The 13444-nt window shown below is 39.9% G+C and overlaps 1 protein-coding gene and 1 pseudogene across 22 annotated transcripts in view, besides 1 other annotated feature; one reads left to right on the top strand and one right to left on the bottom strand.

Moving 5' to 3' along the window:
- MICU1 (mitochondrial calcium uptake 1) overlaps positions 1-13444 on the top strand; it is a 258740-nt gene that overhangs the window by 53193 nt on the left and 192103 nt on the right. For 20 of the 22 annotated variants that reach the window (NR_199811.1, NR_199809.1, NR_199810.1 and 17 more), the window contains 2 exons: positions 6093-6254; positions 9824-9992. The exons of 1 other annotated variant lie outside the window; for it this stretch is intronic. Coding sequence is in view for 15 of the 21 variants with exons in the window: in NM_001441229.1 (NP_001428158.1) it covers positions 6094-6254; positions 9824-9992 (330 nt within the window). In the remaining 6 variants the exon portion in view is untranslated. The remainder of the gene's footprint in view (positions 1-6092; positions 6255-9823; positions 9993-13444) is intronic. One more of the 22 variants, NM_001441226.1, reaches the window with a different exon arrangement.
- Positions 10822-10931: a silencer, noted in NCBI's record as "silent region_2475". NCBI's record gives its function as "represses an Ori minimal core promoter by ATAC-STARR-seq in GM12878 lymphoblastoid cells {active_cell/tissue: GM12878}" and the evidence as "EXISTENCE:reporter gene assay evidence [ECO:0000049][PMID:35858748]".
- Positions 12431-12623, bottom strand: COX7CP4 (COX7C pseudogene 4; annotated as a pseudogene).

Here is a 13444-nt window from a genome sequence, read left to right as displayed (position 1 = left end):
ACCAAATTGCCCACCATAAATTGTACAGATTTGCATGTTCATCAGTAGTGCCATTCTGCAACATTGTCAACAAATGTGTTTTCAAACTTTTTGATTTTTGCCCGTTTGATGGGTGAAAAGTATCTGAGTATAGGTTTAATTTGCATTATTTTATTATGAGTGAGATTAAGTATCTTTTCACAGTTTTCGGAGCCATTTTTCTTTTCCAACTGTCTTTTTATATCTTTACCCAACTTTCTGTTGGTTTGTGAAGTAATATTTTAATAATATTTTATTATTATCATTTTTAATATTTACATTCCATTCCATTATGTTATTATAGCATCATTTATTTTTCTGTAGTTGGGCATTTGATCTACTTTTAGAGTGTGGCTGTTATATTTTTTCTGCTGAGAACAGTTATTAAACAGGTTTTTCTCATTAAGTTTATTTGGGAGTCAAAAATGCAAGGATCTGTTATAGGTTTTTGTACTAATTAGCTATGAGGAAATCACATAACTTATCTGGGTCTGAGTTGGTAAAACTCAGAACTTTCAAAGTTTGAAATCCCCTAGAGCCATAGCATATAGAAATGGATTGCCCAAACTAATAAATCTTGAATACTTTATATGATCTTAGTCTTTTCTCCTAAATGAAATTAATTAAATTTTGTTATAGTGTTTTCTACCAAAGATATGAGAGTGCTAAAGAGATAAAAGGAACCCTAAGCTCACCTACGCAATTCTTTCATTTTACCAGTGAGTGAGCTTTTTTCCCAAGGAGGAGGGATGAGCTTCTTTAGTATATACAGCTAGCTGTTGAGTAGTACAGTTGAGACCAGATCTTGGATCATTGGATTTCTGCCATACTACTTAGTGTTTGTTTTTTTTTTTTTACCATAGTACCTAGTGTTGTTGTTATTGTTTTAATTTATTTCTCCTTTTTATCTTCCATATCTCCTGTGCAATTAGATATTAATATGTGTTTGATACCAATGTCTTTATCATTATTTTTTTTTTAGAGGTGGGGTTTTACCATGTTGCCCATGTTGGACTTAAACTCCTGGGCTCAAGCTATCCTCCCACCTCAGCCTCTTTAAGTAGCTGACGTGTGCCACCATGCCCAACTACATTTTGTTTTTCTTTGGAAATTTTTTGTTTGATTCTGTTTTTTATTTCTACACTTATAATCTAGGCACTCATCACCCAATACCTAGGTTATTAATGCCTTCTGGCTGTACTCATCACTTTCCTGTCAGCTCTCTCTGCCTTTGCTTCTTTGCAGTTTATTCCATGCACTGCTAATAGATAGACTGATAATGCTTTAACCCGTTTTTACCATGATCTCTTCCTATTAAAGAACTTGAGTGGCTTCCTATTTTACATATGCTCTAAATTCTTGGTCTGGCATTCAAAGGTCCTTCTCAAGTGATTGTGGCTTACTTAGTTGATCATATGTCTAGCTGTTCTCTACATCTGATCAGATGTTGTAAATTTATCTTCCAGGCTTATATACCCCTTGCCTGTTAGAACTTTTGGCTTTTTGAGGTAGGGTCTTACTCTGTCAACCAAGCTGGAGTGCAGTGGTACAATCTCGGCTCACTACAACCTCCGCCTCCTCGGTTCAAGTGATTCTTTTCCCTCAGCCTCCTGAATAGCTGGAATAACAGGCGCCTGCCACCAGGCCCAGCTAATTTTTGTATTTTTAGTAGAGACAGGGTTTCACCATGTTGGCCAGGCTGGTCTCGAACTCCTGACCTCAAGTGATTTGCCCGCCGTGGCCTCCCAAAGTGCTGGGATTACAGGTGTGAGCCACTGCACTCATCCTGTTCCAACTTTTGAATTGGCTGTTATTTATTTTAAACATTGAAAACTTCCAAGTGTCTGTTCTTTCTGTTGTCAGTGATGAATAATGTTTCCTCCAGATATGCATGTTTTAGTTTAGTGCTCATTTTTGCTGTAGCGAAGAGCAGTGCTATTTATGTGAGTGTACATGTGGATTTGAGAAATGTTAATTTTGAAATGAACCAAAAAAAAAAAAATCAGAAGTTGCCAGACAGGAAGAAAATATAATGGACAGCCTCCTGGGTGCTGGATTTTGCTAGAGTATGTGCAATAAAATGAGATGATTTCTGGGATTGGGGAAGGATATAAGAATTGTGTTATTAAAGCTTAGGTCATGGAAAATAGGAGAAAAGATTAACAGTTTTTCCATTTTGTCTATATGAGGGCAAGATTTAGGTCCAATTTCAAAATTGGACCTAGATTGGATGAAGGGAGCTAGGAGCAAAGTTTACATAAGAGATTATAGGTATAGGTCCCAGGGAAGAGTTAATAGTAACCAGCTCATTGATTTTAGGAGATGCCTAAGTAGTCTAACCTGACTTGAATCCAAATAATAGAAGACAGTTTTCTAAGTAAATTAGGAACTTAGAGTATACTTAAATGTTAGGAGCAAGTACCTGTATAGTTTGTACACAGACATGTGAAAGTAAAATGGTTAAGTATTTTAAGCACTAATAATGTAACAAGTCCTGTGCTAGACTATGTGTTTACAACTTGAAAAAAAAAATAATTTGGGCCTTGAGGCAAGGGGAGAAAAAATTACGTATGCCATAGGAAGATATGTACAAAGTGCAAAGTAGTTTAAATTAGGAATCAGTGGGCTGGGCATGGTGGCTCACACCTGTAATCCCAGCACTTTGGGAGGCCAAGGCGGGCAGATCACTTGAGGTCAGGAGTTCGAGACCAGCCTGGCCAATATGGTAAGACCCCGTCTTTACTAAAAATATAAAATTAGCTGGGCATGGTAGCACACTTCTGTAATCCCAGCAACTTGGGAGGCTGACGCAGGAGAATTGGTTGAACCCAGGAGGTAGAGGTTGCAGTGAGCCAAGATCATGCCACTGTACTCCAGCCTTGGCGACAGAGCAAGACTCCATCTCAAAACACACACACAAAAATTTAGGAATCAGTGAACTGTGCTTTGAGAAAAATCAAAGGGGGCATGGATTCTTTGTATAATTTGAATGAATTACCTCTACAAAAAAGTGGGACTGTAAAGAAATGCCTCTTCTTCCATCAGCCCATCTGGTGCATTAAAACAGTGAGGTACTATACTGAGCCCTGAAGGTCATAATCTAGAGGGAAAAAAATCATTTACATTAATTCTCTGGATGGAGGTGCCCGAAATGATCCTATGGTTTTGGGGGTGTCTCAACATTTCTCTGACTTAATCAAAATTTTACACCATTCTGAGGCTTAAGACTAAACAAAAGCTTTTGCTGACTAACCCAGTCTCAACTTTATCTTTTTTATTTGTAGTTTTCTGTCATTTCTATCATAATATTTCTATACTTCAAGATATAATTTTAGGCCGGGTGTGGTGGCTCACGCCTGTAATCTCAGCACTTTGGGAAGCCGAGGCAGGTAGATCACCTGAGGTCAGGAGTTTGGGACCAGCCTGACCAACATGATGAAACCCCATCTCTATTAAAAATGCAAAAATTAGCCAGGCATCATGGTATGTGCCTGTAGTCCCAGCTACTCAAGAGGCTGAGACAGGAGAATTGCTTGAATCCGAGAGGCAGAGGTTGCAGTGAACTGAGATCATGCCACCACACTCCAGCTTGGGCAACAGAGTGAGACGCCATCTCAAAAAAAAAAAAAAATATATATATATATATATATATATATATATATGCATATATATGATTTTAGAAATGTATTGTTTTAAAAGTGTTTTGTATTTATCTTGTTTAATTAGAATGTAGATAGTTTTTGGCTTTCTGGGTCTCACATAGGGATGTATATACAGTATGAATTTAATAAATTTTTGTTGAATAAGAACTTCCCAGCCAGGCGCGGTGGCTCATGCCTGTAATCCCGGCACTTTGGGAGGCCGAGGCGGATGGATCACTTGAGGTCAAGAGTTCGAGACCAGCCTTGCCAACATGGTGAAACCCTGTCTCTACTAAAAAAACAAAAATTAGCCAGGTGTGGTTGTCGTGTGCCTGTAATCCCAGCTACCCAGGAGGCTGAGACAGGAGAATCGCTTGAACCCGGGAGGTGGAGGTTGCAGTGAGCCGAGATTGCGCCACTGTACTCCAGCCTGGGTGATAGGGCAAGACTCAGTCTCAAAAAAAAAAAAAAAAAAAAAAAGAATAAGAACTTCCCAGTAATTATCTTGGATGCTGAATTAGTTGGCTATTGATGGGGCAACAAACAACACCCAAATCTTTGCAGCTTACAGTTACACACATTTATTTCTCACCAGCATTCTACAGGTCAGCTGTGCTCAGCTGGCTCAGCTGGGCTTGACAGTGGTTTATTCCAGGCTGAAGTCTGTTCATTATGGATGCCAGTTTGAAGGATCAGTGTCTCTTTGGGACATGGTCTTCCCTCGATGGAGTGCAGGAACACAAGAAAACTAACAGCAGCACCTCCTAAAAGCACTTCATGGAACTGGTCCACATTCCATTGGTTAGAGCAAGACATATGGCAAGACATACGCCAAAAACTTAAAGAGAAGGAAATTTATGACCTGGCATTCATATGCAGAAGGGGAAGAAAAAAGTAGAAAAGTAATTTTGCCTAAGGGATGGGGGATGGAAGAGTAAGTATTTATTGAACAGTAATATGCACTAATACAGATGTTTCAGATTTAAAACAAAACATTAAAAGAATTTTTTTTTAAGTGAAGTTTGAACTATAGAGAATCTGGTAGGGAGGAGGGCTTCCAAGGACCTGGGTGTGAAAAATATTTAATAAAAACTTCAAAGCAGTGTCAGCATTATAAGGTAGGGGGCAGCAAAGTCTCCCCTCCTAGGTTGAAGTCTCCCTACCTAACTCCGAGACATTGAAGTATGGAATTAGTCCTCCCTAGGTTCAAATTCTAGATCTATCACTTCCTACCTTTGTACTCTTGAGCAAGTTATATTTTAGATCTGTAAAATATGGGTACCAGTTATCTTTTTTCATTTCAGCTCTAAACACATCTTTCATTGTCCCGTTTGTGATACTGGAAGTTTTTCCCTTGCCAGTTACTGTTAAACTTTGTCAGTAGAGAGACTAGAAGGACCCTGGAGGAGGGGTGTTTCTTGCTGAGTCTAGTGTGCCCTTTGTGGCTTGCTTCTATAGCATGCAGGAACTAGTGGGACACTCAATGGCACCCAGCTCCTAAGGAGTTTTAGCAGCAACTCTCATATGCAATTTCCTAGTGAAACTGCCTCCCCATGGGTGGCTTCCCCTGGCATCGCGAAGGTCAGCTTCCCAACAAATTCCGCTGGCATGAGTTGTCCAGTAGATGACTTGTTCTGGCATCACAGAGAGTGGCTTTCTAGTGCATTTTGCTGGCATGGCACCTTAGTAAGTTTCTCTGACATACATAGCTGTGCCCTCTCCACACAGTCTGATCTCTGCCCTGTGAGTGAGAGTAGACCTTTTATAGACTGGTCTTTTCTTGGTGCTCTGTGTCAGATCTAGAATAGTAACTGCTCCCTATATCTGCTATTTCTTTAACTTCTGAGTAGTAAATTTCCTGTTGTAACTAATAATTTTTTATTTTTTATTTATTTTATTCATTTTTTTGAGACAGCATCTTGCTCTGTTGATCATAGCTCACTGTCACCTCAACATCCTGGGCTTAAGTAGTGCTCTCACCTCAGCCCCCTGAATAGCTGGGACTACAAGTGCATGTCACCATGCTTGGCTGATTTTTTTTGGTAGAGATGGGGTCCTACTATGTTGTCCAGGCCGTTCTTCAACTCCTGGGCTCAAATGATCCTCTCTCTTTGGCCTCCCAAAGTGCTAAGATTACAGGCATGAGCCACATACCTGGCCTTAATAATGTTTTATATTAAAAGTTTCATACTCAAATTATCATGTGGTTTCTGTCTTCTAATTGTACTTTGACTAATATATCAGTTTTATAAGTAGTACTTTGCTCATAAGATTATTCTGAGGATTAAATGGGATAATATAAGCAAATTGTTTAGAATAGTGCCTGTCATAGAGCAATTACTTTAGTGTTTATTAGAAATGTTGGTAGGATCATCATCATCATCATCATAACTACCACTAGCTAAGAGTGACATTTCTACTTATTGTCCACAGGATGTTTCGTCTGAACTCACTTTCTGCTTTGGCAGAACTGGCTGTGGGTTCTCGATGGTACCATGGAGGATCACAGCCCATCCAGATCCGGCGAAGACTAATGATGGTGGCTTTCCTGGGAGCATCTGCAGTAACTGCAAGTACTGGTCTTTTGTGGAAGAGGTGAGTGTTATCCAACCATCTTGTTCTTGCGTATACTTTTATTCTTCCAGTCATCTCTGTTGTCAGAAAGGAGTTGATTTCTGGCTTAACTCTGTATCAGAATTTCTTGCTCGGATCATTTGGTATTGTTAATATTCGTCTATGAAATAAGATGTTTCAAAGAATTCAACATGCTAAGGCAATACTTAGGAAACACTGTGCTTCAAGGTCTGCCTGTCTCCTCTGCTGAACATTTTAAATAATGGGATAGGGATAGCAATAGCAGCTTTAGAAAATGAAGGCTTTCTGGCCAGGCGCGGTGGCTTACACCTGTAATCCCAGCACTTTGGGAGCCCAAGGTGGTTGGATCACTTGAAGTCAGGAGTTTGAGACCAGCTTGGCCAACATGGCAAAAACCCATCTCTACAAAAATACAAAAAATAGCCAGACACAGGGCGTGAGCCTGTAGTCCCTGCTACTTGGGAGGCTGAGGCAGGAGAATTGTTTGAACCTGGGAGGCAGGTGGAGGTTGCAGTGAGCCAAGATTGTGCCATTGTACTCCAGCCTGGGTGACAGAGAAAAACTGTCTCCAAAAAAAAAAAAAAAAAAAAAAAGAAAATGAATGCTTTCTGAGACTTCACAATTTGGTGACCCTGTGAAATTAACAAAGGAACCTTGGTACTTTAGTGTCCCTGATAATTTTTTTCACTAGTTATGGAAACTTCCTTGGAAAGAAGAGAAAATGTAGTGAGCCACAGTCTTCTCTTTCTTAAAATACATAGTTACTGTTTTTCTGACTCTGTCACTCTCTGTTTTTTATTTTTGTTTGTTTGTTTTTTTGAGATGGAGTCTTGCTCTGTCGCCCAGGCTGGAGTGTAGTGGCATGATCTCAGCTTACTGCAACCTCTGCCTCTGGGTTCAAGCAATTCTCAAGTAGCTGGGATTATAGGTGTGCACCACCATGCCCGGCTGGGATTACAGGTGTGCACCACCATGGCTAATTTTTTTTTTTTTATTATACTTTAAGTTTTAGGGTACATGTGCACAACGTGCAGGTTAGTTACATATGTATACATGTGCCATGTTGGTGTGCTGCACCTAGTAACTCATCATTTAACATTAGGTATATCTCCTAATGCTATCCCTCCCCCCTCCCCCCACCCCACAACAGGCCCCGGCGTGTGATGTTCCCCTTCCTGTGTCCATGTGTTCTCATTGTTTAATTCCCACCTGTGAGTGAGAACATGCAGTGTTTGGTTTTTTGTCCTTGCGATAGTTTGCTGAGAATGATGGTTTCCAGCTTCATCCATGTCCCTACAAAAGACACGAACTCATCATGTTTTATGGCTGCATAGTATTCCATGGTGTATATGTGCCACATTTTCTTAATCCAGTCTATCATTGTTGGACATTTGGGTTGGTTCCAAGTCTTTGCTATTGTGAATAGTGCCGCAATAAACATACGTGTGCGTGTGTCTTTATAGCAGCATGATGTATGATCCTTTGGGTAATTTTTTTTTTTTTTTTGTATTTTTAGTAGAGATAGGGTTTCACCATGTTGGTCAAGCTGGTCTTGAACTCCTGGGGTCAAGTGACTTGCCCACCTCAGCCTCCTAAAGTGTTGGGATTACAGGCATGAGCCACCATGCCCAGCCTCTAGAGCTATCTTAGCCCTATTAATATAGCATGATCTTTCTGGGATGTTACTAAATGCCTTGGGTGTTCAGTGAGGTTCCTCTAGTCTGACTTGGTAGAGCTTGATTGTTTCCTGCTTGTGAGCTCTGGAAATTGACTGGCCTGTGGCTCCTTGGCAACTACTTTGTGTAGTTTCATCCTAAGAATGCACTGCTGAGTGTTGACTCAATACTCGAGAGTGTTCTGTGTACATTTTTGGAGCTCTTTCTCTGTGTGACTTTTTCCTTTTGAGTCCTCTGCCTCACCAATTCCAGGCACCTCAGGTTTTCCAAACTTTGATCTCTGTCACTTTAGTTTAGCAAGATCACTGTATTTGGCTTGGGATCCTCTTTGTGGTCTAGAAAATGTTTCCAGACAGAAATTCTGGGCAATTATAGGCCTCCATTTTTCTTTTCTTTTTTTTTTTTTTTTTTTCTTTTTGAGATGGAGTCTCACTCTGTCACCCAGGCTGGAGTACATTGGTACAATCTCGGCTCACTGCAACCTCTGCCTCCTGGGTTCAAGACATTCTCCTGCCTCAGCTTCTCAAGTAGCTGGGACCAGGCAAGCACCACCACACCCGGCTAACTTTTGTATTTTTAGTAGAGATGGTTTTTTGCCATGTTGGCTAGGCAGGTCTCGAACTCCTGACCTCAAGTGATCCACCCACCTCGGCCTCCCGAAGTGCTGGGATTACAGGTGTGAGTCACCACGCCTGGCCAGGCCACCATTTTCTTAGAGAGTTGCATACTGTGCAGTGTCTGAAAGCAGTCATTTGATATATTTTGTTCAATTTTCTGTATTTTTGCCCTGGTAGGAAGTCAGATCTATTATCGTTTGCTCCATTATGGCTGTAAGCAAAAGTCTTCTTTTTGTATTTCATCAGTTCTGTAATATTTAATTAATTTTAGTATTATATCATTGCAGCAATGGCTTCAACTACCAGAAATACTTATATTATTTTTTAAAAAAGAAATACTTATATTATTTTGGTCCCCTATTTCTTCTTTATTTATGTTCCTTTTTATTGTAGTGAAAGGTGCATAACATAAAACTTACATCTTAACCATTTTTTTCTAAAGACCTTGATATTCCACCCTTTCAGTTACAGTTGGGACAAGGGGAGAATGAGAATGGGAAGAGTTGGAGTGAGATGAAGAACAAGGAGGCGCTCTATGGCTGGAAGTCTAGTACATTTAGTTTTTGTACTGGAAGGGCTCATCGTCTCTGGTTTCAATGGGAAGACGTGTGGATGAGGGCTTCTGTCACATGTCTTCACCATTTTAAAATATGCAGTTCAGTAGTTTAAAGGGTATTCACATCATTGTGAAACAGATCTCCAGAACGTTTTCATCTTGCAAAACTGAAACTCTACTTATTCAAGAGCAACTTCCTTGCTTCCCCTTCCCTCAGCCCCTGGTAACCCCCATTCTACTTTCTGTTTCTGTAAATCTAAATATTCCAGGTAACTCATGTAAGTGAAGTCATACAATATTTGTGGTTTTGTGACTGGTTTATTTCACTTAGCATAACGCCCTCAAGATTCATCCACGTTGTAGCTTGTGACAGGATTTCCTTTCCTTTTAAAGCTGAAAAATATTCCATTATCTGTATATACCACATTTTGTTTATTCATCTGCCAATGGACTTTTGAGTTGTTTCCACCTTTCAGCTATTGTGCATAGTGCTGCTGTGAACATGGATGTGCAAATATTTATTTGAGACCCTTTCATTTCTTTGGGATATATAACCAGAGATCATGTGGAAGTTCTATTTTATATTTTTTGAGGAACTTCTTCATGTAGAATATTTGACAAATTTCATTGCTGTTGCTCTGCTAAGCTGTATCTGTTTGCTTATTTGTCTAGTATGATGGACGTTCAAGATTAATCTAGATTTCTTTTTTGCATATCCAGGGCCCATGCAGAATCTCCACCATGTGTAGACAACCTAAAAAGTGACATCGGTGATAAAGGGAAGAATAAAGATGAAGGGGATGTTTGTAACCATGAGAAAAAGACTGCAGATCTTGCCCCTCACCCAGAAGAGAAAAAGAAGAAACGTTCTGGATTCAGAGACAGAAAAGTATGAAACATAGTCTTATAAGTTGATCAGAAGTATATCTTAAAGTAGAATAATGCAGTTCAATCTTTTTAATCATATGTTTCAGATGGTTCATCTTCACTTTCAAGTTATCACTTCTTTGCTATTTTCTATCATGTTCTAAGCCAAAAGTACTCTTGGAATGTGAGGTTAAAGGAGGTAGTTAAAAGGATCTAGGACCAATAACCATGATTAGCATATTTTTTCTTAGTTCTTTCAGTTCAACTGCCTAAGGTGATTCTTTTTTTCTGGATCTTCCTGATGCTAAATGTTATCATATATGTTAAGTTGAGTCTTTGTGGTATTTCTGATATCGGGTTGTAGAGACAGAATAAAATCTCTTTGGAAACATAACTTCTAGAAGACCAAGTAACTTTGAGGACAGCACAAACTTCAAATGACTATCAAGATTTTATGTAATTAGGCCCCGCATGGTGGCTCATGCCTATAATCCCAGCACTCTGGGAGGCGGAGGTGGGTGGATCACCTGAGGTCAGAAGTTCAAGACCAACCTGGCCAATGTGATGAAACCCTGTCTCTACTAAAAATACAAAAACTAGCCTGGCATGGTGGCATGCACCTGTAGTCCCAGCTACTCAGGAGGCTGAGTCAGGAGAATTGCTTGAACCCGGGAGGTGGAGGTTGCAGTGAGCTGAGATTGTGCCACTGCACTTCAGCCTGGGCGGCAAAGCAAGACTGAGTCTCAAAAAAAAAAAAAAAAAAAAAAAAGATTTTATGTAATTAACACAACCTGCTGTTATGTAGCTTTGCCTCAGCGAAGTTTCAGTTCCACTACAGCAGTTCCTATGATATCAGGTATTTGAGTTCAGCAAACATGAGTGATGAACAATGAAAAGGATGGATTTCTTAGACATTTTGCATGTCAAGGTTAAAATTCAGGGAGTTGCGTTCAGTTGCTAAACTATAGCTAATAATGCAACAAGATAATTTGAGTTATTTCTGCGTTTTGTGTGTTTGTGGTTTGTGTTTGCAAGAAGAGTTCTTTGTAAAATCTGGATCTTCTGTCTGGTTTCATATGTTAGATGAAGTAATTTTTTTATTTTTGGAGACAGAGTCTCCCTCTGTTGCCCAGGCTAGAGTGCAATGGCATGATCTTGGCTCACTGTAACCTCCGCTTCCTGGGTTCAAGCGATTCTCCTGCCTCAGCTTCCCAATAGCTGGGATTACAGGCATGCACCACCATGCCCCGCTAATTTTTGTATTTGTAGGAGAGATGGAGTTTCACCATGTTGGCTAGGCTGGCCTCGAACTCCTGACTTCAGGTGATCCGTCTGCCTCGGCCTGCCAAAGTGCTGGGTTTATAGGCATGAGCCGCCATGCCCAGCCTAGATGAAATTATTAAATGTGTTTTCTCTATACCCAAATCCATTTCTGATAGAGGTGAATTGAACAAAAGTCATGCATCACAAGTCAATTATCAAGTGTCCTTGTTTTTCTGTCAGGATACATTTATTTATTGTTTTGCCCTGAGTGAATTCAAAGAAAGCACAACTTTACTCTGTGCCAGCAGTTTCATCTACAGGCCAGTCACACTTTCCATTTCGTAAAATACAGCTAAAATGTCCCAAATAAACATTTATTTTGAACCTACTTCCATTTTCTACTCCTGCCTTCTGCTCAGCAGATGAGCATATCTCATACTTCATAGAAAAAATTAAAGCTATCTGTGTGATTTACTCAAATTCCAACCCTTATAGTTACAAAATCTATCTAATCTGTATTTGAAATAATTCTTATTTCTTTCACTGAAGTTTCAGAGGAAGAGCTATCTTTTCCCTGTTCAAGGATAATTGTTTTAATGTCTTTCTGTATCTCTAATAATCTATTTCAACACTTATTCTGTCTTCATTCTGTTTTTTTCAGTCATTCTTTGTATATTCATTCTTTTACATAATCTATATAGACATGTTAAGAATTTATCTATAATTTAAGAAATAATAAACCACATTTTTATGCCATAAGTTTTGTGTTTTGTTTGTTTGTTTTGAGATGGAGTCTCGGTCTGTCGCCCAGGCTGGAGTGTAGTGGTGTGATCTAGGCTCACTGCAACCTCTGCCTCCTGGATTCAAACGATTCTCATGCCTCAGCCTCCTGAGTAGCTGGAATTACAGATGCCTGCCACCATGTCTGGCTAACTTTTGCATTTTCAGTAGAAACGGGGTTTCACCATGTTAGCCAGACTGGTCTCGAACTCCTGAGCTCAGGTGATCCGCCCACCTTGGCCTCCCAAAGTGTTGGGATTATAGGCATGAGCCACTGTGCCTGGCTTATGTCATAAGTTTATTTAAAACATATCTATTATCCTATGTAAATTCAAGGGTTTGATTTATTTTTCAGAGATTGCACCTCTTAAAATGCTCTTCATATCTGTTTCATGGATGAATTAAACATCCTTGTTTCTTAAGCAGTTGGTGTCTTACTATAAAGAAATGTGCATAAAATCCAGATCCAAAGTGCAAAGTCATTATAATTAGTAACCACCACTTATTTTCTACTGAAAATAGCATGTTCTTCCCTTAGCCCTCTTTATAGTGCCTCATGCCTCCTGTAGACCACAGAGGTTGTGAACCTCTGGATGCCCTGTTCCAACATGGTGCTATTGGAAGTTCAGTGAGAGGTGCATAGACTGAAGGCAGGAGAGATGGCAGCACCACACCAAGTCCTCCTTAAACTGCATTTTTTAATCCCCTTTTTCTTCTCCATTTTGATCATGTATTTTTCTCTTGCTACTTTCCCATTCATTTTTTTCCCTCTGGTCTGGTCCTGTGATGTCTACATCAGCAGTCCCCAACCTTTTTGGCACCAGGGACTGGTTTTGTGGAAGACAGTTTTCCTGCAGACCAGAGTGGGAGGGGATGGTTTGAGGAGAAACCGTTCCACCGCAGATCATCAGGCATTAGATTCTCATAACGCACACAACCTAAATCCCTTGCATGTGCAGTTCACAATCGGGTTCATGCTCCTATGAGAATCTAATGTTGCCGCAGATCTGACAGGAGGCAGAGCTTAGTCGGTCATGTTCCACTGCTGCTTACCTCCTGCTATGCAGCCTGGTTCCTAACAGGCCCCGGACCAGTACCAGTCCACGGCCCAGGGCTGGGGTCCCTTGCTCTACATGTTGTCCTTCACATTCTCACTTTTCTTTTTCCTTTAACTTTTTTCTTTTTAAAAATTTTATTTAAAAAAAAGTTTATTCATTGTAGAGGTCTCAATATTTGCCCAGGATGGTTTCAAACTTGTGAGCTCAAGCAATCCTCCCACCTTGGCCTCCCAAAGTGCTAGGATTACAGGCATGAGCCACTGTGCCCGGCCCTCTCATTTTTCATTTATATTTTTGTTTTTTTATGTTCTCTTAATTTTTATGTAATATTTCAAATATTCAGAGAAAAAATAGAGTAATATGTTTTTATATT

Source organism: Homo sapiens, chromosome 10 (genome assembly GCF_000001405.40).
Source record: "Homo sapiens chromosome 10, GRCh38.p14 Primary Assembly".
In the NCBI taxonomy this organism is placed as follows: Eukaryota; Metazoa; Chordata; class Mammalia; order Primates; family Hominidae; genus Homo; species Homo sapiens.
This window is presented reverse-complemented; position numbering and strand designations above follow the sequence as displayed.